This window comes from Homo sapiens, chromosome 5 (assembly GCF_000001405.40).
Source record: "Homo sapiens chromosome 5, GRCh38.p14 Primary Assembly".
NCBI lineage: Eukaryota > Metazoa > Chordata > Mammalia > Primates > Hominidae > Homo > Homo sapiens.
The window spans coordinates 119,445,500-119,472,265 of record NC_000005.10 but is presented as its reverse complement, the minus strand read 5'-3'; the positions used below and the strand labels follow the sequence as shown (position 1 = coordinate 119,472,265).

The 26,766-nt window shown below is 39.3% G+C and overlaps 1 protein-coding gene and 2 pseudogenes across 14 annotated transcripts in view, besides 5 other annotated features; 1 reads left to right on the top strand and 2 right to left on the bottom strand.

The window, feature by feature from the left end:
* Positions 1-19,769, bottom strand: part of HSD17B4 (hydroxysteroid 17-beta dehydrogenase 4) — an 89,836-nt gene extending 70,067 nt beyond the window's left edge. For 5 of the 14 annotated variants that reach the window (NR_164654.1, NM_001374502.1, NM_001374500.1 and 2 more), the window contains exons 1-2: positions 19,445-19,769; positions 15,898-15,951 (exon numbers count right to left, since the gene is read on the bottom strand). Coding sequence is in view for 6 of the 14 variants with exons in the window: in NM_001199291.3 (NP_001186220.1) it covers positions 566-630; positions 15,898-15,951; positions 19,445-19,512 (187 nt within the window). In the remaining 8 variants the exon portion in view is untranslated. Of the gene's footprint in view, positions 1-565; positions 631-15,897; positions 15,952-19,444 lie in introns of all 14 variants that reach the window. The other 9 variants (NR_164653.1, NM_000414.4, NM_001374498.1 and 6 more) reach the window with 4 other exon arrangements.
* Positions 977-1,708: an enhancer, noted in NCBI's record as "OCT4-NANOG-H3K27ac hESC enhancer chr5:118806253-118806984 (GRCh37/hg19 assembly coordinates)". NCBI's record gives its function as "activates a minimal SCP1, AML or CMV promoter by ChIP-STARR-seq in naive and primed H9 embryonic stem cells {active_cell/tissue: H9 hESC(naive and primed)}" and the evidence as "EXISTENCE:reporter gene assay evidence [ECO:0000049][PMID:30033119]".
* Positions 1,709-2,440: an enhancer, noted in NCBI's record as "OCT4-NANOG-H3K27ac hESC enhancer chr5:118805521-118806252 (GRCh37/hg19 assembly coordinates)". NCBI's record gives its function as "activates a minimal SCP1, AML or CMV promoter by ChIP-STARR-seq in naive and primed H9 embryonic stem cells {active_cell/tissue: H9 hESC(naive and primed)}" and the evidence as "EXISTENCE:reporter gene assay evidence [ECO:0000049][PMID:30033119]".
* On the top strand, positions 3,211-3,307 carry LOC124901215 (uncharacterized; annotated as a pseudogene).
* Positions 10,477-10,694: a silencer, noted in NCBI's record as "fragment chr5:118797267-118797484 (GRCh37/hg19 assembly coordinates)". NCBI's record gives its function as "represses an EF-1alpha promoter that drives an FKBP-Casp9 reporter gene in an ReSE screen in HepG2 liver carcinoma cells {active_cell/tissue: HepG2}" and the evidence as "EXISTENCE:reporter gene assay evidence [ECO:0000049][PMID:32094911]".
* Positions 12,840-13,492: an enhancer, noted in NCBI's record as "OCT4-NANOG hESC enhancer chr5:118794469-118795121 (GRCh37/hg19 assembly coordinates)". NCBI's record gives its function as "activates a minimal SCP1, AML or CMV promoter by ChIP-STARR-seq in primed H9 embryonic stem cells {active_cell/tissue: H9 hESC(primed)}" and the evidence as "EXISTENCE:reporter gene assay evidence [ECO:0000049][PMID:30033119]".
* Positions 19,619-19,668: an enhancer, noted in NCBI's record as "active region_22989". NCBI's record gives its function as "activates an Ori minimal core promoter by ATAC-STARR-seq in GM12878 lymphoblastoid cells {active_cell/tissue: GM12878}" and the evidence as "EXISTENCE:reporter gene assay evidence [ECO:0000049][PMID:35858748]".
* RNA5SP190 (RNA, 5S ribosomal pseudogene 190) lies at positions 26,433-26,550 on the bottom strand (annotated as a pseudogene).

Here is a 26,766-nt window from a genome sequence, read left to right as displayed (position 1 = left end):
AAGAAAGTCTTTATGTATAAGAATGGTGATTTTAAAAGAAACACGCATGAGCTTAAAATATTAGAAAATCATATTTTAAGTTTTTACAACACACAGTGTCTAAAATGAAAGAAATAAAAACTATTTCTCAAAAGAGGTCAAAAATTACATACAGAACCAATATATGTTTAGTCACTAATTTATACCATAACTCCATGTTCATATGTTTAACTGATGACACTTACCATAAAACATCTCCCTATATCCAATTATATATTTACAAACATTAATTGATAATTTACTATTTGCAGGAAAATCTACAGAGGGACACACAAATGTATAAGAATGGTGTTTGCCCTCAAAGAGTTTATAATCTATTGAAAGTTAAGTATGCGATGGCCACAGTAATACACAGATTTTAGCATAAAGTGTATATCCAAGCCAACATAATCAAATAAGAACAAATATCAAAGTTAATTTACACAATAATTTATGAAAAAATTTACAAAATAACATGCAAAAACTAATAAAAAGATACATAGATAAATGCCAAATAACTTGGAAAAACAGAACTTAAGAGAATTACTTGAAACAAAGAATCTGCATTGTGAAATGATCTTCTCCATAGGGTTATTGCATAGATTTTGAAAGCTGTAACAATAAAAAAGTTACTAATTAATAAATAGCATAATGGTATACATGAAAATGTAATAGTTATGATTAACACAATTTTTTTTAAACAAGATTTTTTTTTCTTCTGAAAAACTGCTCTTTTTAAAACTGGGGTGAGAGTTGAAAGTGGAATTGGATAAATAAGTAATGGGATAATATGGAGAAAAAGCCAATGCCTAAAATTAGCTAAGGCATATATATTTTCACTTAACTTTTTAAAAACAGGAAATGAGTTTTTCAAAATGTGGACTGAGATTTTTTTTTGATAGTATAATATGATAAGTCTTACTGAAAATAAAAATGTTACAAGACACAAAATAATAGAAAGAGGCTTGTATTATCCCTCAAGAGATGGAAAAAGTGTTAGGATTCTCAAAAGACTGAATTCTTATTAATTGTTCATTTCAATGCAATTATTCAAATGACAGGAAACAACCAGTTAAAAAAATCAAGATTTTAAGACAGTTAACAGTCTTTTATGACCCTTTTTAAGCACAAGAAAGTTCAAAAGCAAATTAGAAAACGTGATACTTAAGTGAAGAAAGCATTGTTTGATTGTGCAATGAAACACTACCCCCAAGTGGAAATTTTACAAAGCGCAACCAGGCAGGCAAGCATTGAAAGCTGGATAAATAATTTATTGAGATCAATCATGGGTAGTTAAATAATATTGGGGTAAATTTATCTCAAACAAATCTCTACATTAGAGACCACTAAATTGACACTGACCCACTCAGCAATCCCATTATCACCAGAGCGAAATCACAGAAATTAAAATCTTAACTAGAAAATACTGGTTAGATGTCATCAAGATGGCCAACTAGAGGTGCCCAATCCTTGTCTCCTCCGCAGAGAAGAATCAAAACAACAAATAACAGCACTTCAGGTAGAATGTCTAAGAGAGAACATGAAAATTCAGCAAGGAAGTGACAAAAACCCTCTGAGGCACAGAAACTCTGCATGGCAGCTTAGAGGGGGAAGTGAAGCATCCAGATGGAATCAGCTTAGAGCTGACAGGGACTTCCCATTGTGGGCAAAAGGTTAAGTGGGGGACACCCAAGAGTCGCCATTACCATCACAAATACCTGTAATCACAGACCCTGAGCTCAGTATAGGAACCTGCCTGGAGTATACACAGCTGAATTGCTCCTGAAAAGAAACACAAGCTGAGTCCTCCCTATCCCATGAGACCCAAGCTGTTACAGTATGACACCATTTTGGTAATGGAACCACTGCTGGTGTGCATTCTGACCTGGAGGCCAATAGCCCAGACACCTCCACATCCTAGGGGTGCCATCTGCCATCATCCCACCATGCCCACACAGAAGGCTGCAGGATCATGACCCCAGCTAGTTTCAGTGGTACCACTATGACCTCAGCACCTGAGTCCATGCAGCACCCTACACTCCAAAAAAAAAAACAGACATTCAAGTACAATGGGGACGCTGCCACCAGGAAGAGAAAGGCTGACATACGCATTCCCCAGAGACTGAGAATTAGCCTGGCCAGCATCTATCACCTCAAGCAACCATGACCTATCTAGCAGTAGAGCAACCATGTGCCACATGTGCCCCATATGGACCAAGACAACTGACACCACCAGCAACCCTTCCCCCTCCCATGGAGGATCTACCATGCACCATGCTCACCCACCAGGGACAGACAACTAACCCATCTGGCAATCCCTGTTCCCAGCAAAACCATGCCACTGTCTCCACAAACCCCAAAGTCAAGGCCACTGAGGCACATACAGACACTGTTGATGTTGATTACAGCCAAAGAAATCACAAGGCAATTACACATCTGTGCCCAACCAGAAGCTAAACCAAACACCTAACCTAACTGATACATAGAGAAAAAAGTCTTTCCCTACAAAAGTTAATTCATAAAAGGGGAAGATACGACTGTTCTACTAGACACACAAATATCAATGTAGGAACAAAAGAAACATGGAAAAACAGGCCAGGTGCAGTGGCTCACGCCTGCAATCCCAGCACTTTGGGAGGCCCAGGCAGGTGGATCACTTGAGGTCAGGAGTTTGAGACCAGTATGGCCAACATGATGAAACTACATTTCTACTAAAAATAACAAAAATTAGCCAGGCGTGGTGGTGGACACCTGTAGTCCCAACTACTAAGGAGGCTGAGGCAGGAGAATTGCTTGAACCAGGAGGCAGAGGTTGCAATGAGCCGAGACCGCGCCACTGTACTCCAGCCTGGGCAACAGAGTGAGACCCTGTCTCTAGGTGGATAAATAAAGAAATAAAAATAGATACCTTTCTTTAAACACTTTTTTTAAGTTAAAAAAAAAAAAGAAACATGGAAAAACAGGGAAACACAACACCTCCAAAGAAACACAACTCTCCAGTAACAAACCTAAATAGAAGAAAATCTACGAAATTCCTGAAAGGGAATTCAAAATGATGATCTTAAGGAAATCCAGTGAGATACAAGAAAAATATAGATAGATAATACAAGAAAATCAGAAAAACAATTCATTATCTAAATGAGAAATTCAACAAAAAGATATATATATCATTAAAAAAAACAGAGCTTAAGAATACAATGAATAAAGTGTGATGACTGAGTGTTCACACTCGTGTAAGATATGCCTCCCTCAAACGTTGTCATGAAATAAGCACATTGCCCAACTGATAGGAAAAAGAAAAAAAAAAACAAGAATTCAATCAATGAAATTTAAAAATACAATTGAAAGCTTCAACAACAGACTACATCAAGCAAAAGAAAGAATATTTAAACTCAAAGACAGGACTTTTGAAATAACCCAGTCAGACAAAAAAAAAAAGGAAAGAGAAAAACATAAAAAAGAATGAAGAAAGCCTATGGTAGTAATGGGACACCATTAAGTAAACAAATTTTTACATATTGAGAGTTACAGAAGGAGCGAAGTTGGGCATAGAAAACATTTTAGCTGAAAACTCCCAAGTCCTGAAAGAAAGATGGACATCCATATCCAGGACACTCAAAGGTCTTCAAATGGATTCAACCCAAAAATGTCCTCTCCAAAGCACATTCTCCTAAAACTGTCAGAAGTCAAAGACAAAAAGAGAATATTAAAAACAGCAAGAAAAAAGCATCAAGTCACATATAAGACTTATTAGACTAACAGCAGATTTATCTGCAGAAACATTACAAGCCAGGAGAGAATGGAATGATAACATTCAAAATGCTGAAAGAAAAAAAAAAACAAAAACCTGCCAGCCAAGAACACTACTCCAGCAAGCTATCCTTCAGAAATAAAGGAGAAACAAAGTCTTTCCCAGACAAGAAAAAACTGAGAGAATTTATCACCACTAGACCCGTCTTAAAAGAAATGCTTATGGGAGTCCTACACTTGAAAGTGAAAGGATGAACTACCATCATGAAAACATATGAAAGCTTAAAACTCACTGGCAGAGCACATACACAAATGAGAAAGAGAAAAGAATCCAATTTCATCACTACAAAAAAACCACCAAACTGAAGAGATAGACAATAAAAGACAAAGAAAGGAACAAAGAACATACAAAAAAAAACAGAAAACAATTAACAAAATGACAGAAGTTCTTGCCTATTTATCTTGAATATAAATGAATTAAATTTCCCAATTAAATGATAAAGAGATTGGCTGGATAGATTTTTTTAAATACTCAACTATATGCTACCTACAAGAAACTCACTTTGCTTGTAAAGACACACATGGACTGAAAATGAAAGGACAGAAAAAGATATTCTATACAAATAGAAACCAAAAATAGGCAGAATAACTACATTCATAACTCAGTATATACAAGGCATTTGTTCCAGGACACTCCACGTGCATCAAAATCTGTGCCTACTCAAGTCCTGAAGTTGGCCCTGTGAAACCCACGTATACAAAAAGTAGGCCCTCCATATATGCAAATTTCATATCCTATGAATACTGTATTTTCTATTGATGTTTGGTTTTTAAAATATAAATGTATAAGTGAACCTGCACAATTCAAACCTATGTTGTTTAAGAGTCAACGATACACTTACATCAGATATAATAGACTTTAAGTCAAAAACAGTGCAAAGAGAAAAACAAGGTCATTATATAAAGATAAAGGTATCATTTCAGCAAGAGGACATAACAGTTGTAAATATATATGCACCCAACACTGGAACACCCAGATATATAAAGCAAATGCTACCAGATCTAATGAGAAAGATAGACTTCAACACAATAATAGTTGGGAACTTCAATACCTCACTCATGGCATTGGGCAGATCATCCAGAAAGAAAATCAACAAAGAAACTTTGGACTTAAACTGCTCTATAAACAAAATGGACCAAAAAGACCACTGCTCTAGAAATGAAATGGTCCTAATAGAAGTTAACAGAACATTTGATCCAACAGCTGCAGATACACATCAGCACATGGAACATTCTCCGCAACAGACCATAAGTCAGGCCACAAAATAAGCCTCAATAAATTTTTTATTTGATATGATTTTGGTTTTCTAATCACAATGAAGAAAAACTAGAAATCAATAACAAGAACTTTGGACACAGTACAAATACATGCAAACTAAACAACATATTCCTGAATAACCAACGGGTAGCAAAGAAATTAAGAAGAAAATGTAAACATTTCTTGAAACAAATGAAAATAAAAACACAATATACCAAAGCCTATGAAATACAGCAAAAGCAGTACTAAGAGGAAAGCCTATAGCAATAAATGCCTACATTGGAAAAGTAGAAAGAATTCAAATAAACAATCTAAAAATGCATCTAAAAGAACTAGAAAAGCAAGAACCAAATCCAAAATCAGTAGATAGAATTAATAAAGATCAGAGAAGAAATAAACAAAATTGAGACTAAAAAATTACAGAAGGTCACTGAAACAAAAAGTTGGTTTTTTGAAAAGATAAACAAAACTGACAATTCATTAGCTAGAATAAGAAAAAAAGAGAAAACACAAATAAAATCAGAAATGAAAAAAAGGCATTTACAACTGATACCACAGAAATAAAAAAGATCATTAACGACTACTACAACAACTCTACGCCAACAAACTGGAGGAAAACTGGACATAGACATATGACCTACTACCAAGATTCAACTCAGAAGAAATAGAAAATCTGAACAGGTCAATAACAAAGAACAAGATTGAAGCGGGTATAAAAAGTCTCCCAAGAAAGAAAAGAGCAGTAACAGACAGCTTCACTGCTGAATTTTACCAAACATTTAAAGAACTAATACAAATTCCTCTCAAACTATTTCAAAAAATTGAAGGGGGAGGGAACAGATTTCTTCCAAACTCATTCTATGAGGTGGGCATTATACTGATACCCAAACCAGACAAGGACAAAACAACAAAAAAAAGAAAACTGAAGTCCAATATCCCTGATGAACACAGTCACAAAAATCCTAAACAAAATACTAGCAAACTGAATCCAATTAGAAGATAATATATCACAATCAAGTGAGATTTAGCCAGAGATGTAACGATGGTTATGTGTATCAATAAATGTGATATCACATCAACAAAACAAAGGAGAAAAAAACCATCTGATCATCTCAAGAGAAAGCATGTGGTAACATTCAATATTCCTTCAGGATAAAAACTCTCAACAAATTAGGTACAGAAGGAATGTACCTCAATACAACAAAGGTCATATATTACAAACCTGCAGCTAACATCACACTCAACAGGGAACAGCTGAAAGCTTCTCCTCTAAAAACTGGAACAAAATAAAAATGCCCACTTTCACCGCTCTTATTCAACATAGTGCTGAAAGTACTAGCCAGGACAATTAGGCAAGAGAAAGAAACAAAGGGCATCCAAATTAAAAAGAAGGACATCAAACTGTTCCTGTTTACAGATGACACAATCCTACATATAGAAAAACCTAAAGACTCCATCAAAAAACTCTTAGAACTGATAAATGAATACAGTAAAGTTGCAGAATAGAAAATCAACATACAAAAATCAGTAGCATTTCTATACACCAATGTGTCAGGCTACTTCTGCATTGTTATAGGAAATACCTGAGGCTGGGTAATTTACAAAGAAAAGAGGTTTAATTGGAACATAGCTCTGTGGGCTGTACAGGCAGAGCTCCAGCATCTACTCCTCGTAAGGCCCTCAAGAAGCCTCCAATCATGGCAAAAGGCAAAGGGGGAGCAAGTGCATCACAATGGCAAGAGTGGCAGCAAGAGAGAGAAGGAGGTCCCAGACTGTTTTAAACAACCAGATCTCACATGAACTGAGTAAGAACTCACTTATCACCAATGGGTTGGTGTTAAGCCAATCACATTTCAACATGATTTGGAGGAGAAAAACATCCATACCATATAAACCAATACCAAACTAGCTGAAAAAGAAACCAGAAAGCAATCCCATTTACAATCACCAGAAAAATAAAATAAAGTACCTAGAAATAAATTAACCCATTCATGGATTGGAAGAATTAGTACTGTTAAGATGGCCATACCACCCAAAGTGATCTACAGGTTCAATGCAATCTCTATCAAAATGCCAGTGGCATTCTTTTTGCTGTTGTTCCTAGCCACTAGACAACCAGGGAACCAGTGATATTCTTCAAAGAAACAGAAAAAAAAAAAAATCCTAAAATTCACATGAAACCACAAAAGATCCCAAATAACCAAAGCAATACTGAGCAAAAAGAACAAAGCTGAAAGTATCACACTACTTGACTTCAAAATATACTATAAAGCTAGAGCTACCAAAGGCCGGGCGCGGTGGCTCACGCCTATAATCCCAGCACTTCAGGAGGCCAAGGCAGGCGGATCATGAGGTCAAAAGATCGAGACCATCCTGGCCAACATGGTGAAACCCCATCTCTATTAAAAAATATATAAAAATTAGCTGGGCGTGGTGGCGGGTGCCTGTAGTCCCAGCTACTCGGGAGGCTGAGGCAGGAGAATCACCTGAACCCAGGAGGTGAAGGTTGCAGTGAGCCGAGATCACACCATTGCACTCCAACCTGGGCGACAGAGCGAGATGCTGTCTCAAAAGAAGAAAAAAAAAAGCTATAGCTACTCAAACAGCAATGGTAGTGACATAAAAATAGATACATAGACCAATGGAACAGAATAGATAACACAGAAATAAATCCATGCATTTAAAACCAGTTGATTTTCTACAAAGGTGCCAAGAACATATGTGGGGGAAATGACAGTCTCTTCAATAAATGGTGCTGGGAAAACTGGATATCCATATGCAAAAGAATGAAAATAGACCCCTACCTCTCATCATATACAAAAATCAACACAAAATTTATTAAAAACCTAAACATAAGACCTGAAACTATGAAACTACTAGAAGAAAACATACGGGAAACACTTCAGGACATTGGTTTGGGCAAAGATTTTATAAATGAGACCTCGGAAGCATAGGCAACAAAAGCAAAAATAAACAAATGGGACTAGATCAAACTAAAAAGCTTCTGCACAGCAAAAAAACAATCAACAGTGAAGAGACAACTTGCAGAATGGGAGAAAATATTTGCAAACTATTCATCCAACAAGAGATTAATATCCAAAATACATAAAAAACTCAACACCAAAAATAAAAAATAAATAATCCTAATAAATAAATAATAAACAGTATATTTTTAAAATGGCAAATGAACTGAATAGGCATTTCTCAATGGCCAGGTGCAGTGGCTCACGCCTGTAATCCCCGCACTTTGGGAGGCCAAGGCAGGCGGATCATTTGAGATGAGGAGTTTGAGACCAGCCTGGCCAACATGGTGAAACCCCATCTCTACTAAAACTACAAAAAAAATAGCTGGGTGTGGTGGCAGGTGCCTGTAGTCCCAGTTACTAAGGAGGCTGAAGCAGGAGAATCGCTTGAACCCGGGATGTGGAGGCTGCAGTGAGCCAAGATGACACCACTTGCACTCTAGCCTGGGCAACGGAGTAACACTCTTTCTTAAAAAAAAAAAAAAAAAAAAAAAAAAAAAAGACATATAAATGGCCAAGAAGTATATGAAAAAATGTTCAACATCACTAATCATGAGGAAAATGCAAATCAAAATCACAATGAGATCATTTCAAGTTAGAATGGCTACTATCAAAAAGGCAAAAAAAAAAAAAATAACAAAGGATGACAAAAATGTGAAGAAAATGAAACTCTCATATATTATTGGTGGAAATGTAAATTAGTACAGCCATTATGGAAAATAGTATGGAGGTTATTCAAAAAAACTAAAAACAGAACTACCATATGAATTAATCCCATTGCTGGGTATATATAACCCAAAGGAAAGGAAATCAGTATGTCAAAGAGGTATCTGCATTCCCATGTTTACTGCAGCACTATTCACAATAGTCAAGATATGGAACCGGCCTAAGCGTTCATCAACAGATGCATGGATAAAGAAAATGTGGCACACAATACATAATGGAATACTATTTGGCCATTAAAAAAATGAAATCCTGTCATTTTCAGCAACATGGATGAGCCTGGAGGAAATTATGTTAAGTAAAATAAGCCAGGCACAGAAAGATAAATACATCATGTTTTCACTCATATGTGGAAGCTAAATAAGTTGATCTCACAGAAGTACAGAGTATAATACTGGTTACTAGAGGCTGGGAAGGGTAGCAGGGAAGAGGGGAATAGGAAGAGATTGATTAACCAATACAAAATTACAACTAAATAGAAGGAATAAGTTCTAGTGGTGTATAGTACTCTAGGGTGATTATGGCCAACAATAATTTATACTATATTTTCAAATAGCTAGAAGAGAGGATTTTGAATGTTCCCAATGCAAAGAAAGGATAAATGTTTGAGGCGATGGATATGCTAATTACTGATTTGATCATTACACACTGTATAAAGGTATGAAAATATCACACTGTACCCCATAAATATGTATGTGTCAATTAAAAATAATAAGAAAAGAAAATCATTGGTACATGCTGAAAAGCTTAGATATAGAAAGAACATTAAAAATACTTTTTGCAATTATATACAAAGAGAATTGTATCCATAACATGTGACACTGTTACCACTTAAACGTATAGCTAAAATTCTAGTAGTAATAATAATAACTTATACTGATATGTGTGTACTTCACATTTCAATAAAACTACTATGTACACTGATGCATTTAATCTCCAGATAGCTTTTTAAGAGAGTGGCAGTAACAATTGTTCCTACTTTCACAGATAAGAAAACAGTTTGGAAAAGATTATCCTACCACGGGTCCCTAAGTCTATAAGAAACGGCAAAATTTACACTAGAAATTGGACCTACTACAGTACCACTCTGCTCCTCAAATGTGTTAAGCAAGTTTCTTTTACCCTAAAAAGATCATTAGTTCCACTAAGCAAAAAAAAAAAAAAAAAAAAAAAAAAAAAAAAAAATCACATTTGTTGGGGGAGGATATGAAGCAAAAGATAAATCAACCACCCAACTCAAATAGCTTTCAAATAGGTAGCAAAAAATGGTAAGACTATGATAGTCAAGGGTCAAGTCTTTTCAGCTGAAACTATCAAAATGTTCCAAAGTGTGATACATTTGTACATTTTCCATATAAAATCTAGTTCATAACCCTGGAGGGTTTTTTTTAACATAAATCTTTTCCTTGTTTCTGTCATTTTAAATAAATCAGTGACTCGGACAGTCTATTAACTACAGAAGATTTTTCCTAAAAAGCATTCCCAAAATTTTGTCAAATACGTGCTATATTGGGAATGTACGAATATTGGGAAATCCTTTTCGTTTTTTCTTGAGACAGGGTATCACTGTCACCCAGGCTGAGTGCAGTGACACAATGATAGCTCATTGAAGTCTCAAACTCCCAGGCTCAAACCATCCTCCTGCCTCAGCCTCCTGAGTAGCTAAGACTACAGGCATGCACCACCACACGTGGCTTTTTTTTTTTTTTTTTGGCAAAGACAGCGGGCCTTGCTATGTTGCCCAGGCTGGTCTTAAACTCATGGCCTCAAGCAATCCTCCTGCCTCAGCCTCCCAAACTGTTGGGATTACAGGCGTGAGCCACTGCACCCAGCCAGGATCCAAGGAATTCTAAAACACACTTAGATCCGATAAAAAGTATTCTATAAGTAGGTAAATAGATAACTAAGTACAAGGTACCAAATTATCAGGCATCAATAGCCTGAAAATAGAACCACGTGTTTGTGAGAATGCCTGTTACCCCACATTCTCACAACATTGGTTATTATCATTGCCTTCAGTCTGACAATTACATGATTATAATTTGTAGCTCATTATTTTAGTCTACATTTTTTTGAGCACTAGTAAAGTAATATTTTATTTTCATGGCTTATATTTATATTTATTATTGTTTTGCCTATTTAGTTCACATTTTATTTGGGATACTTGCTTATAGATTTGTAAATGTCCTTTATTTATAAAAGATCTTAATTCTTTGTTACATAAGATATGAATCATAAATTCCTTTACTGAAATGTTGAGAGAGAAATAAAGTTCATATCTGAGCATCAATATTACTTGATGACTATTATGTACATTGCTTTTTACCCCATCTCAGGGTAAAAGTTAGTCCTTACTCTGAACTAAAGGTCCTATGTGATCTGGCCTTCTAGGACCCCTCTGCCCTCATCTCTCACTTTTGTCTCCCTTATGACCTTGCTCGCTATATAACCACACTGGCTCCCTTCCTAACCCTAAAACATACCATGCCTGCTGCAGCCTCAGTAACCTGGCTTCAGCTGCTTCTTCTGCCAGGGATGCCGCGACAGCAGATCTCCTCAAGGCGCACTCCTTCACTTCCTGCAGTCTCTCCTTAAAGCATTTTCTGTTCCATTCACTCATTTTTTTCTCCACAGCACCTACATCTATTATATTTTTACATATGTATTTCTTGATTATCTGTCCCTCCACTACTCCCCACTAGAATATATGCACCATGAAAGTAGGGACTCTGTTTTATTCCCACTATATTCCTCTGGCATCTAGAACAGTGTTTGCTACATAATAGACGCTTAATAAATACATGTTAGATGAATAAATGAATCTATTTGATGTTAAGTCTATTAACCTTATTACTTTTTTTAAAACTGGCAAATGACAAAATAACGACTTGCTAAGAACTACTCTAGCTCTTAAAATGACAAATAGCTAAGAGCTACTCTAAATTTATTCAAAGGTTTTCCCCCATAATCCAGATTGGTGATAGTCATGGAGGTATCCAAGGGAGATGTGGGTATTTCATGTACGGCTCATTTATTATCAGCTGGAATTCACATGTGCCTTCTTATGATCTTTCTCCCTGTATTATATCAGTTTCACTTATTCAATCAGTATATATTCTTGATTACTAAGTACTATACTTACCGTTGCGGAGAGTGTATCAGTGCCTAAAGCAGCCTGGGATGGTTTAAATATTTAGCCCCTCCAAAACTCACATTGAAATTTAATCCCTGATGTGACAGTATAGAGATGTGGGGCCTTGGCCGGGCACAGTGGCTCACACCTGTAATCCCTGCACTTTGGGAGGCCGAGGCGGGCGGATCACGAGGTCAGGAGATCGAGACCATCCTGGCTAACACAGTGAAACTCCATCTCTACTAAAAATACAAAAAAAAAAATTAGCTGGGCACGGTGGCAGGCACCTGTAGTCCCAGCTACTTAGGAGGCTGAGGCAGGAGAATGGCGTGAACCCGGGAGGTGGAGCTTGCAGTGAGCCGAGATAGCGCCACTGCAGTCCGGCCTGGGCAAAAGAGGGAGACTCCCTCTCAAAAAAAAAAAAAAAGAGATGTGGGGCCTTTAAAAAGTGATTGAATTGTGAGGGCTCTGCCCTTATAAATGCATTAATCTATTCATGGACTAATAGATTAATCGGGTAATGAATTAACAGGTTATCATGGGAGTGAGACTAGTGGCTTTATAAGAAGAGGAAAAGAGACGAGAGCCAGCACACTCAGCCTCTTGCCCTGTGACGCCCTGTGCCATCTCGGGACTCTACAGAGTCCCCACCAGAAAGGAGGCCCTCCTCACCAGATGTAGCCCCTCAGCACTGGCCTACTCAGCCTACATAACTATAAGAAATAAATTCCTTTTTTAAAATACATTACCCGGTTTTAAGTGTTCTGTTATAAGCAACAGAAAACAGACTAAGACACAGAGCTTTTCCTTTAAGCATCTAGGAGAAACATGTATAAGGGGGCTAGGATGTGCCTTGAGTCAACAAGACCTCAGTCAACAAGACCTTCACTTTGATATATCCAGTTCTTGAGCAGAGTGAGTCATATATGGTAAGCAGGGACTGATATTGGTTCCTTTCTCTTCCCTTTCCGAAAGTCTTTAATTTTTTGTCATTTACCCTCACCATAATCCCGGAAGTTAGCTAAGACAGCTATAAACAGAGAGGTCATATAATTAGGCAGCAGAGCCAGGATTTAAAACTTGGCCTGACTTCAAAGGCAATGCACCTTGCCCACTACAGTTCACCTTCCAGCTGTCAAGATCCCATAGGGGTTAAAAACAATGGCTCTAGCATCAGGCCACAGGAAGTTAAGACTCAGCTTTACCATTATTATGTAACTGTAGCACGGAAAAGTCATGTCAATCTTACTTAAAAAGATTGTAATTCAATTTACCCAAAGGTGTTACTTCAGTTCAAGAGTAGAACTCCCTTTCTTTTACTAAGGAGTTCTTTTTGCTCCTTTTTGTCAGTCCTTCTTGTGTTTATGTCCTCAAAATAAAACTTACTATTCAGAGAACTAGATATAGCTCACCTACTGAGGAAACCTCAAAACTACTGAATTCCCAATAACCTACTTAAGAAATGCACAAGCATTTCCTGAAAGATGTAATTTACACAAAAGCAAATGTCCCTTTTTACAGTATCAGCCTAAGGCTTAGCAGTTCTTATACCAAATTTAAATATCCCATAAGCTTTATATTATGGAATATAAAACATAGCAATCATATTAACACAAAATTGGAGACTATCTTAAATGATGCCCCTAACTTTTGGCTTAGCCAAATGATTTCCTTTGGCCAATGAAATGTCGGTAGAAGTGACATGCCACTTCTAAAAAGAGGTCAGGAGTTCAAGACCAGCCTGGCCAAGATGGTGAAACCGCATCTTTACTTAAAAAAAAAAAAAAAAAAATTAGCCAGGCTTGGTGGCAGGCGCCTGTAATCCCAGCTACTTGGGAGGCTAAGGCAGAGAACTGCTTGAACCCGGAGGCAGACGTTGCAGTGAGCCAAGATCACGCCACTGCACTCCAGCCTGGGCAACAGAGCAAGACTCCATCTCAAAAAAAAAAAAAAAATTAGTGTGTGTGATGCAACTTGGAAACACGGTGTCTATGGTGTACATGTAAAAAGGCTAACAGGTAAGACACAGACTTTAAAAAGGAATAGAAAACATCAGTCAAAATTTCTGCACTTCCACATGGATTGAATTCTCCTCCTTAATACTAAACTAAATCTGGCTCTTCATTCAAGTTTATGAAATATTTTTCTTCTATATTCTTGGACTTTTATCAGGACTTGACACAATTATCATCTCTACTATAATAATGCAATGACAAAATAGATAGACACAGCATCTCTGTTTAATTTTTTCTTAGAATTCAAATACTCCTAATCTGAATTTAAGAAATTGAGAGGGAACAGGGAAATAAAGGAAAATTGATGCACAGGAACACACTGTTATAAAATTTTTTACAAAACAGGTTTATAAACTAAGTTTATATCTTAGTCAAGAACAAAAAAAAGAAATGTATTCAACCAATCTCAAACACACCCTTCCCCCAGAAAAGTATATCAACAATAAAAGAACCAATGAACAAAGTACCTTCTTTGCACAAAGAAATATTCTAGGTCCTTTAGTAGATACAAAAGATAAAACAAGATCCTTGCCGTTATGGAATTGAGCAGAAAAGATGTAAATAAATAAAAACATATAAGGTAAAAATATTAAGAACTAAATAGCAACATAAAAAGGAAGGAAAATTAAAAATAGTAACAGCATGTGTCTTTAGGCCTCAACATGAGCTATTCTTGGGAAAATCTGACAAAGTGGGCCTGAAATATATACTCGCTGTCCAAATAATACAATGTCAAAATTCATCCCTGCCAGAAGAAGCAGATTGGATTAGCAGACAGTGCCTATGATCTTAAACAAGGAACATCCAAAGCGTCAGTGTTCCTTCCATAAAGATAAGCTACACATCCACAATGAAGGAGAAAAGTGTATCAAGTGCTCTGCTTAGGGCTTGTTTAGAAAACCTGGTTGCTTGCTTACTCTTTTGTTATATGTGTCTCCCTGAACAAACTGATGAAAATTCGTCTCTCTGTATTGCCTCGTTAAGATGTCAGAAAGCTGAAATTAGAAGATCATTGTGGGCCCACAGTTTTATCCCAGGAAATATGCTAATAAGTACTGGGTCCTACATATCCCCCTGCACTTAGCACCCATTTAGTTATTCCCCAGAAAGGCTCAGTTGTGGACAAATTCGTTTCTGTGTCCACACCAACTGTCAAGCACATTAGATCAGTCCAAACCATGCAGATTACTAAAACCTCCCACCTTTAGGATTCTTCAATACAGTATCTTCCATCTGACCCCTCCACAAACAAAAACTCATGTAACTGCCCCCTCAATTAAATTTTTTTAAAACACTTCCAGCTGAAAAGTTTTGATGAAAGAGTCAAGAAACCCATACTTTAGATTCCTTGACTCCAAACTTCCAGTTCTCAAAATTCAGTTATTTCTTACTTTTATCAATACACTTACAGGGGCTCTCTTTTGATCTCGCACCAGTAGACAAACCTCCTGTCTCAAAAAATTACAGCCTACAATTTACTGAAGTCAAGAATTTCCTTTTATACAATAAATGCTTGTCCCCACCCTTTTCTGTGAGAAACAGGGTTTTTTTTGCGCCATCACCCAGATTGGAGTGCAGTGGTATAATCATAGTTCTCTGCAGGCTCGAACTCCTGGTCTCAAGCGATCCTCCCACCTCAGCCTCCTGAGTCACTGGAGTTATAGCCACAAGCCAGCATGCCTACCCCCTAGCCCTTCGTTATCAATTCTGTTAAGCTGGGAATTCTGTGAAACTGGTTCCCTTTTAAAAGTAATTTAGACAGACAGCCTTAGTCGGGGTAAAAACCTTCTGGCAAAAGTAAAAATTAATAATAAAATTCAACCTTGACAAATTATTTGATAGAAAGACAAAGATAGCTTGTAAAGATTGTATTTCAGTTATCAGCTACAGATTAAAAAGAAAAACACACCAACTTACCAACAACTAACGCTCCTCTTTCTGCAAAAGCCAGGGCATAGGCTCGGCCCAATCCTAATCAAAAACAAAATAATCAGAAAGTTGAAGAAATGTCAGCATAATTTTTTTGGTCCGCTCAACTCAATCCCCATTTAAAGAAATTGGTGAACAATTAATTACATTTTAATGATACTCTCAACCTATCCTATCACTGACATTCTCAACCTATCCACTCTCTTCTGCTTGCAGAGGCTGGAAAGCTTAAAACTGTATTTTTCCACCTATTCTACTACCACTTCCTACCATTCTACTTAGCTGCTAGGATGCTGTGAATTGGGTTCCACCATCTGATGCATCTGCATAAAACTTAGAAGGTGTAAGTGAGACAGAGACCACCTTACTGGGAGTTCTGGCTGTTGTTGTTAAGAAGCTAGTTTTCTTGAAAGTTCCTAGGTATTCAGAAACTGACTATAGCAGCGACTTCTTCATTCAGCTCCCTAATCCCTGGATGGCAGCTTCCATACTTCAGGTCCCTAGTGCCAGTGCTACTTGGGCTGTGGCACAGCTCCAATGACAGCCTCAGAGGTATTGCCTCCTCTAATGGATCAATTTCCTATTGTTTCAGGAGTTATTCTAAGAAGACCTGCCTAAAACCTAATTGCCTGTATTGAATCCTTTGCTGCTTAAAATATCTAGTGGTTTCTGTATCCCACAGTGAACCCTGACTACACAGTCATCAAATACAGAAAATATTTAATTCTGACTCAAAGCTACAAGGTGTAAATTTATATATCCAAAAAGAAATTATATATATATATATAGAGAGAGAGAGAGAGAGAGAGAGAGAAAGTTTTGCTTTTTTTCTTTTTTTTTGAGATCCAGTCTCACTCTGTCGCCCAGGCTGGAGTGCAGTGGCATGATCTCGGCTCACTGCAACCTCCACCTCCCAGGTTCAGGTGATTGTCCTGCCTCAGCCTCGCGAGTAGCTGGGACTACAGGCGCCCGCCACCACGCCCAGCTAATTTTTGTATTTTTAGTAGAGATGGGGTTTCACCATGTTGGCCAGGATGGTCTCGATCTCTTGACCTCGTGATCAGCCCACCTCGGCCTCCCAAAGTGCTGGGATTACAGGCGTGAGCCACCACCATCCCCAGCCAAGAGAGAAGTTTTATAGGCATAGAGTATCTCGGGAAAAACACATTAGAAACTGGCAATTAGTGGTTACCTCTGGAGGACAGAACTATGTGGCTAGCAATAAGGGGTGGAAGGCTTACTTCTGGATTGTTTTTCTGTATTGTTTACATTTTTTAATATGTGTATATTTTTTACATTTTAAGTTAATTGATAAATTTCATTGACAAATGAATAAATTTAATTAACAATTTATATTTAGTATAAATTAATCAATAAGTATACAAATAACAAACTGAGATACATAAATTATTAGCCCCTTCCAAAAACAACCCAAGGCCAGGAGTAGTGACACACATCTGTAATCCCAACACTTTATGAGACAGAGGTGGGCGGATCATTTGAGGTCTGGAGTTCAAGACCAGCCTGGCCAACAGGGTGAAACCCCGTCTCTATTCAAACCACAAAAATCAGCTGGGCTTGGTGGTGTGCACCTGTACCCCCAGCTACTTGGGAGGCTGAGGTAGGAGAATTGTTTGAACCCGGAAGGCAGAGGTTGCAGTCAGCCAAGATCATGTCACTGCACTCCAGCCTCGGCAACAGAGCAAAACTCCCTCTCAAACAAAAACAAAAAGAACCAAAAATATACAGTTTTCCAAAACTAGGAAATTTCACCAAATAACTTATTTTAGAATTTAATCCAAGCAGAAGGATCACTTGAGGCCAGGAGTTTGAGACCAGCCTGGGCAACAAAGCGAGACTCCATCTCTTGAAAACATTTAAAAATTAGCTGGGCGTGGTGGCACATGCCTACAGTCCTAGCTAGTCTGGAAGCTGATGCAAAAGGATCACTTGAGCCCAGGAGTTCAAGGTTACAGTGAGCCATGATCGGGTCACTGCACTCCAGCCTGGGTACAGAGTAAAACCTTTAGCTCTGAAAAAAAAAAAAAATTTAATCAACTCTGAATGGGTAAGAGAGAATTTAACCAGTTTATGAACAGCAGGTGCTAAGTTCATAACTGTCTAGTCACAACTCATTGTTTCACAAAATCAATTTTGTGGGTTACAATTACAATTTATAAATAAAACAGAATAGAAAATAAATTTCAGGATGCATTGCCTGTACTACACACTATATCATGAACTGGTTTTAAATACAGATGTATGTGCTTGTGTAAGTGTACTGAGTACTGGTGTAAAATGTACTGCATACCATGTGTAAGTATGCTAATGGTGTCAAAAGAAGCAGTCCCTATCCTTGAATGATTTTCAGATATAGCCCCTGAAAAGGAAAGTCTCCTTAGCGATGGCAAAAACGTCTTAGAATGTAATCCCTGGACCTCCTGCATGAAAATTATCCAAGAGCTGTCAAAAAAGATTTAAAACACCAAGCGTTGTAAAATACATTATTTACAATAAAAGCAAAGTGTAAACAAAATGTTTTCCTAAAAACATTTAGAAGGTATGACTACACCCAAATACATGCCCATGCAGAGATAACCAGACAGCTATGGGTATAAAATACTTGGCTATTCATCAACACTGAAAGCATTTTCTGAAAGGCAGCATAAGAAGCCACTTTATCAATACAGATATGAAAGTACATAGGAATTAATTGACAGAATTCCAGTTTGTAACGTTTAATATATAACTCAAATAATTCATGCATTAGGGCCTTTCCAGGTATAAGGTACTACCAGTGGAGAATCAAAGGTGCATAATGTCAAGATCCCTGCACTTGGAGGTTACAGAGGTCACCCACTGGTGAGAAACTAATGTAAAATCTCACTGCACAGCATCTATGTTGGTATGAATGGTTTGTTTTAATTTTTTGTACTTTAAAAAATGGGGCTATTTCACATAACAATTTTCCATTTTGCCGCTCCTGAAATACAGGCAACTTTCCCACTGGCCGGTCCACTTCGGAATTCTCTGCTCTCCAGTTCCTCAGATGTGCCCATCCTACTCCCATTTTCTTTCTCCATCATACGCCTGACCCCTGTGCGCATTTGAGCTTACAACCTCTGCCAAGACTCCAGTGGATTTCGAGAACAGATTGTGACTTGCTAAGCATACAAACTCCAACGGGGAAGGGCTCTTATCAGACGCCCTCTTTAAAGAAGGTCCTCTCACGAACTTAAAATCTTACGACAGAGGGAAACAAACACTGAACGACCGAATGACTTTTCAGGAGCTGACATCTCTGCGCTTCAGGGGGCGAATTCCAGCCCCCGCCCCTCGCGGCTTTTCAGTCCTTTAAAAGACTAGGCAAAGATCTAAGAGAGTTAATTGCAGGAAGAGTAACAATCGATGCCCACAGATAAGGGTCAGGGAGAACTTTCACCCAGTTTTGCAATCAGCAGCCCAGCCTGGCCTCTCCTCTCAGGCAGGACCTTGGGAAGCCCACACCGGGGTGCTGGGGAGAAGCGGGCTGTACCTGCTTGAGAGACCAGGTGTTTCCGGCTCTTTCCTCCTCAAGAGATGCGGTGCCTCAAGAATAACCATTCCCCTCCCCACCACCTCAGCGGGGTGACCTCAGCTGCGGCTGCGCGCGTATGCCGGCCCGAAAAGAGCAGCCAGCTGCGCCTCAGCAAGGGGCGCGGCCTCCAACCTTCGCATGCTCACCTGCCCCCGCGCCGGTGACCAGTACCACCCGCCCGTCGAACCTCAGCGGTGAGCCCATGAATAAGGCCTGCAACGACACACACACGAACAAGCAGAGCCGCTGGACGCCGACTGCGGGACAGGAGGAGGCGGGGAATGGCGGGGGCGGGACGAGGGTCAGTGACTTGCCGATTTCTGGTAGGAAGATGAGCGCAGAGCGCGCGGCTCCCTTGGAATCCTGGGAAATGTAGTTAAGAGTGACTCCACTCGCTGGAAGACTTGCCTTCCAGGGGCCATTTCTGCGGCTGGAAGCAATGGGAGCTGCTAGGACTTGTGTAGAAGAATAGTTAACTCGACACCTTGCGTTCATCTATTCACCTGTCGTTTCATCATTCACTCAATAAACGTTTTCTGGGTTTAGTTGCTGACCTAGAGAAACAGCATGCGGCCCCTATCCTTGAGGGGCTTCCAGAGATAGCCCCTGGGAAGGAAAGTCCCCCTTAGGGATGGTAAAGATTTGTCAGTGTAATAATCCCTGCACTTCTACATGCAAACATCAGGGGACTGTCAAAATGCAGAGTCCTGGACCCCCACTGCTTACCTCCCAAAATAGAATCTCAAGGGGCAAAAACATTTTGACAAGTGTTCCTAAATGATCTTGCGTTTGTATGTTGAGAACAGTCATAGTTCAATCAACATTTACTGAGCATCTCCTGAGTTTTGATAGGATCCTCAAGCTACTCAGAGTCAGATGGTAAACTTTCAATAACGGTGCAGCCTAGACTTGTGACCAATGTGTGTAAGTGAGCTAATGGTGTCAAAATAAACAGACCCTATCCCCGCTGGGGAGAAAGAGGAAAAACTTTCTGAAGGAGGACCAGGACCTAAAGTGGCGACCCCTGCAAAGAAAGAAGGGCATTACAGGCAGCACAAACACTAGCTAGGTTTGGGGAGAAAGAGGGTAAAGCCACAAAAGCAAAGCCAGCAAGATCATGTTTAGATGTTTGAATTTTGTGCTGAAAACGGTTTTAAGTAGGATTACTCCAGAGAGTGGTGGGAACACATTTACACTATGGAAAGATCACTTTGCCCATTATGGAGGATTGATTGGATGTTGCGGGAAGTCATGGACCCCAAACAGAGGGACCTGCTAGAGCCGCAGCAGAGGAACATAAATTGTGAAGATTTCACGGACATTTATCAGTTCCCAAATAATACTTTTATAATTTCTTATGCCTGTCTTTACTTTAATCTCTTAATCCTGTTATCTTCGTAAGCTGAAGGTGTACGTCACCTCAGGACCACTGTGATAATTGTGTTAACTGTACAAATTGATTGTAAAACATGTGTGTTTGAACAATATGAAATCAGTGCACCTTGAAAAAGAACAGAATAACAGCAATTTTTAGGGAACAAGGGAAGTCAACCATATGGGCTGACTGCCTGCGGGGTTGGGCAAAAACAGCCATATTTTTCTTCTTGCAGAGAGCCTATAAACGGACGTGCAAGTAGGGAAGATATCACTAAATTCTTTTCCTAGCAAGGAATATTAATATTAATACCCTGGTAAAGGAATGCATTCCTGGGGGGAGGTCTATAAACGGCTGCTCTGTCTTATGTGGTTGAGATAAGGACTGAGATATGCCCTGGTCTCCTGCAGTACCCTCAGGCTTACTACGGTGGGGAAAAACCCGGCCCTGGTAAATTTGTGGTCAGACCAGTTGTCTGCTCTCGAACCCTGTTTCTGTTGTTTAAGATGTTTATCAAGATAATACATGCACTGCTGAACATAGACCCTTATCAGTAGCTCTGCTTTTGCCCTTTGTCTTGTGATCTTTGTTGGACCCTTATTAGTAGTTCTGCTTTTGCCCTTTGTCCTGTTCCCTCAGAAGCATATGATCTTTGTTCTGCTTTTTGCCCTTTGAAGCATGTGATGTTTGTACCTACTCTCTGTTCTTACACCCCCTTCCCTTTTGCAACCCTTAATAAAAAACTTGCTGGTTTGAGGCTCAGGTGGGCATCACGGTCCTACTGATATGTGATGTCACCCCCGGCAGCCCAGCTGTAAAATTCCTCCCTTTGTACTCTTTCTCTATTTCTCAGCTGACTGACACTTATGGAAAATAGAAAGAACCTATGTTGAAATATTGGGGGCAGGTTCCCCCAATAATTAGAGGTGGGCAAGGAGAACATAGAAAAGATTTGGGGGAAATTATGGAAACCAGAAGTAAGGCAGAGGAAATGTTGAAGAAGAAATGTTGAGATAAACTGTATTTGCAAATGGAACTGACAGGGATAGAAGGCAGGGAAATTCTGGGCAGAAGAGGGCAGGTCCCCAGTGAGGGCTCCAACCTCAAGCCTGAAAACACAGCCCAAAGTGAGAACATGCATCCCTGTTTTCCCTCTTGAATGTTGCCTTTTCCAAAACCACCTATGGTCCCCCTGCCCCCCATCCTGTGCCCATAAAAACCCCAGGCTCCAATGGCAGAGAGGAGAGGAGAGAAGAAACAGCTCGACTTCAGAGGTATGGCTTAATGGCGTTGCTCCTGGGGAAGATCACCTTCTCACTCCATCCCCTTTTCAGCTCCCCTTCCCATTGACAGCCACTCTCATCGGCAATAAAATCCTCTGCATTCACCATTATTCAATTTGTTCCTGTGACCTGATTTTTCCTGGATGCCAAACAAGAGCTCAGGTGCCACAGGTGTGACACTAAAGGCTGTCACACTGACCCTCTGCCCTCACTGGCAGAGAGCAAGTGCCTCACACCAAAAAACAGAGGGCCTACTGAGCTGTTTAACATTTAAGCCATCAGTGGATGGCAAAGTTAAAAGAGCACTGTAACACACACCCTCTGGGGCTTCAGGGGCCTTAGGTACCCCTCTAGACACTGCCAAGGGCCACATAGAGTTTTGCTCCTGCATGCACTGGCCCCAGCTCCTGCACCCACTCACCTGTGCTCCCCGTTCCTGTGGAACGCAGTGGGACCCAGTGAATGGAGTCCACCCCTGCCAGACCCAAAGCGGCCAGCTAGTTCTAGATCCTATGTGCTCCAGTTCCTGCCCCCACCCATGAAGGGGTCAGGAAAATTTCCTGCTTCAGAACTAGTCTTTTTGATTAATTAGATGTAGATATGAGAAAAGAGCAACTGAAATAATCCTATATTTTGATTTGAAAATCTAGATTACGATGGGCCATTCATCAAAATAAATAGTGGAGAAAGAGTGGCTTTGGAGGGGTTATGGCTTCAATTTTAGACAAACTGCATCTGTGAAGGGGAAGCAAAACTATGGCTAGAGACACCTAGCAGACAGCTATGGTTCCAGAGCTCTGACAGCTTGGTTTCTGTTATAAATAAAGTTTTGGTGCCACAGAAGAAATAGCACTCGAATATAAAATTTTTTTTTCTTCTCAGCAACGCAGTTTACTTCTATAGAAGGTTGCACTCTCACAGATGGAGCAATGGTGAGCGCACACCCGGACAAGGGAGGGGAAGGGGTCCTTATTCCTGATGCATGTGGCCCCTGCTGCTGTGTCATTCCCCTATTGCCTAGGGTTAGTCCACACAGGTTAAACTAATTCCAGTTGGCTAATTTAAAGAGAGTGACAGGGTGAGTGGTTTGGCAGGAAAAATGGTTATGACAGAGAGGACATCGGAATGAGCCAGGGTAGAGAATGAGCAGGTAATCAGAATGAGACAGGGTGGAGCAGGTAATCGGAAAAGGTTGCTTTACGAGGAAGTTAAGTTTCAAAGTAGAAGGCAAAGAATTGAATACACTGACATACTGATTCTTTTAAAAGAAATTTAGAACTCATATCTAACAACTCCTCCTCTTGCATTTCCTTACAGCTCTTTCTCTTCAAACTTCTTTAACATGTCTTGGCTTAGTTGTTCTGCTTGATTTTCCAAAAGAATAAGCTTCTCTGGATAAGGTGGAGGATAGTTAAGGGAGGATTTAGTAAGTGCCATTTCTATGAGCCTCTGCACCAACCCACAGATGTATGGTATGATACAGCACCCAACAAGAGTAAGTACACCCATTACGGCTGCAAGGGAAGTTAAGAATTGAGGCTATTATTCCTTTCCATTTACCAAACCACTTTTCTAGGCATCCTGTAAAGGGCCCATTTACCCTTAGTTGCTGGCTAACTCACTGGACAGAGCAGTCAGACCTTGCAATGCCTTTGTTATACTTCCATTAGGGGCGGTATTGTTTGGGATGAAGGTACAACACTGAGTTTTAATCATGATGCAAACTCCTCCTCTTTCTGCTAATATCATGTCTCAGGCTATCCTATTTTCCCAAGCCATCTGGCTAGTAGCCCCTAATTGCTCAGCTATTCTTTTAACAGCATCTCTAGGGTAGTTAATAAATCGCTGTTGGTTGCAATAAATGTAGTTTATCAAACCTACATTTTTATTAATTGTAACTTACCAAAATACTGGCTGAAATCCTGCAGCTATTTGATTTTGGGCTTTAAATTGATCTGGTATTCCCAGTGGGACTCCAATTGCGTCTAAATAGACATGAGAGTTGAAAGACCCATAAGGGGCCTCTTTCACTTTACGATGTCTTATTTTTCCTTCCTCCAGTTGATGAAATGCCAGAGTAAAAGAGATAACCAATTGAATTAGACCATAAGTACTGCTCTAATTATTTGGCAGAGTGTCCAGTAAAGGTCCTCCCTAATACCACCATACAACCAGTCAGGGATGAATAAGGGCAGACTGTTGGGTCAGCTCTTGGAAGTGCCTGACTTCCCTGCATCCTGTTAAGTCTCCAGGGAATGCCAAATTTTTCCCCTTGTCATTGGAGACATGAGGTAAAATTGGCTTTGGAAGATGGAGGCTGGATGGCCCTTGGGGGCTGACCCACAGCGTGTTGAACTTCAGGAAATAGCAGAGAAAGAGCTTGGCACAATTTGTTATTCCAGGCGGTAGAATCTTGAAAAAGAGCTACCATGCACTCCATGTCCAGTTGATTTGAGGACCATCCCAGTGGAAAGGGAACAACCTGGGCCTCTGGCCTACTGTGCACACAACAGTAACAGTCGCTTTTGTTTCAAGTGCGAACGGAATATTTAATCCATTTTAACCAGGGATTTACATCTTTTTACTCTGTTTCAATGGCTATGGTTTGCCTTAGGTCTTCTATTTCTACTACTGAGACCTTGCTTTTGTCATTTGGCATGAGGCGAGGCATAGTTTGATTTCATAGGTTTGGGAAAGGGGCAGTTGTAGGAGGTGGAGGAGGGAGAACAAACCACATCTTAAAGAAACCTATAGGATCCTTTCCAGTGACCTCTACTCCTAAACCATAAAAATGCTCAAAAGTGGGGTTAGAGTTGCTAGTGGTAGGAATAGTAATGGCTATAGGCACTGGATTCAGAAAGGAAAGGAAAAGATAGATAGACTACACTTTTCTTAGCTTTAGTTTGGTAGGGCTTGATCCAGGAACAATGGCCCATGATTCTGATGATAACGGCGCTTACTTGACTCGGGTGTGATGTGTCCAACCCCCTTCCGCGGTACGAACAACAGTCTCAGTGGTTAGCAGCACTAGGTAGGGTCCTTCCCAGGCTGGCACAAATTTTCCTTCTTTCCACCCTTTGACAAGAATGTGATCCCCAGGCTGGTGCTGATTTACTGGAAATTCTAGGGGTGGTACCTGTGCTAAAAGACATTTAGTTTTGAGAGAAAGGAAAGTGGAAGATAAACCAAGTGTATAATTTCTGAGAAACTGATCTTTTGTTTTAAATTTGGGAACACCAGCAGTGGACTTTATAGTCCTTAGTGCCTCCCTGCTGAGAAATTTCCTTTGGCACCTATTTTTATTAGTTGTTAGACCAAAGAAACCCAAACACCCTTTTACATTTGACAATGCTTCCTGTATGATTTTATACCAGATAAGCTAAATTTTACCTTTATATTAGTGTGTTATTAATGTTAAACTTGATTTTAATAAAACCCTATAGACATAATTATCAAATTTTAATGTCTGACCATAAGGTAAGATTTCCATAGACTCTATTTAACCTTTTATAATTTTGTTAAAGAGCAGTTAGTGTTTTAAGAAAAACCCACTGTGCTTTTATTTTAACGTCCAGTCCACGGAAAAACTGCATGATACCCCTTTAACTTTAGCTAATATGTTTACACATAGAATTTCCTTTACAATTAACGTTTTAAAACTTGCTTAAACCTTTAAAACAAAATATTTTTAACCTTTTAATGTAGGTAAAAATCCACATTCTTATGCCTCCTTATAATCTTTTAACCAAAAGTATATTTTATTTTTCTTACACACCTTGCACATAAAGTGTTTCTTCAATAGTTTTACACTCAGGAAGCCTAATTACTATTAAATTATGCAACATTTCTTGCATAAATTCTCTTTTATAACTTTTTTTTCACGACTTTCACAGACAATTCCTCAACATGCCTCAACTTTCTGACTTGTTGCAAACATCCCTTTCTTTAAACAACCAGTTAATTTATTTTAGGACAAGAATTTACCATATAACTTTTTTTTTAATTTTGAACAATTTTTATTGCTTTCTTACCTTTATAGTGTTGCTATGGAAATGTCTGATAATAATCTGATAGTTATTCATCTTTACTGAGCAATTTTATCTCTGGAACATTTTATAATTTTCTCTTTGAAATGTTTATTATAATGTATTTAATGTGGGGTATTTACTTATCCATTCTTTCTTTTTTCTTTTTCTTCTTTTTGGGTGAAAAAGGGGGAGAAGAGTCAGGAGGCGGTTGGTAAGCCCGGCGACAAAAGTGGGAAAGAGGGAGGGAGTGGGAAGCCAAAAGCCTACATCACCCAGCATTCCCGGTCGGAATCCCATCCAAGCACTAACCAGGCCTACCCTGCTTAGCTTCCGAGATCAGATGAGACTGGGTGCTTTCAGGCTGGTATGGCTGCCCACAGGCGGTCCCAGGCTCCTGCGGGGGCGCAGGCGGGTGGAAAAGGGGGAGAAGAGTCAAGGGGCAGTTGGGAAGCCTCGCAACAAAACGGGGAAAGAAGGAGGGAGCGGGAAGGCAAAAGCTTAATTATCCATTCTATTTGGAACTCTCTGAACACATTCAATCTGATGTCTTACATATTTGTTTAACTCAGGAAAATACTTGGTATTATTTTTTCA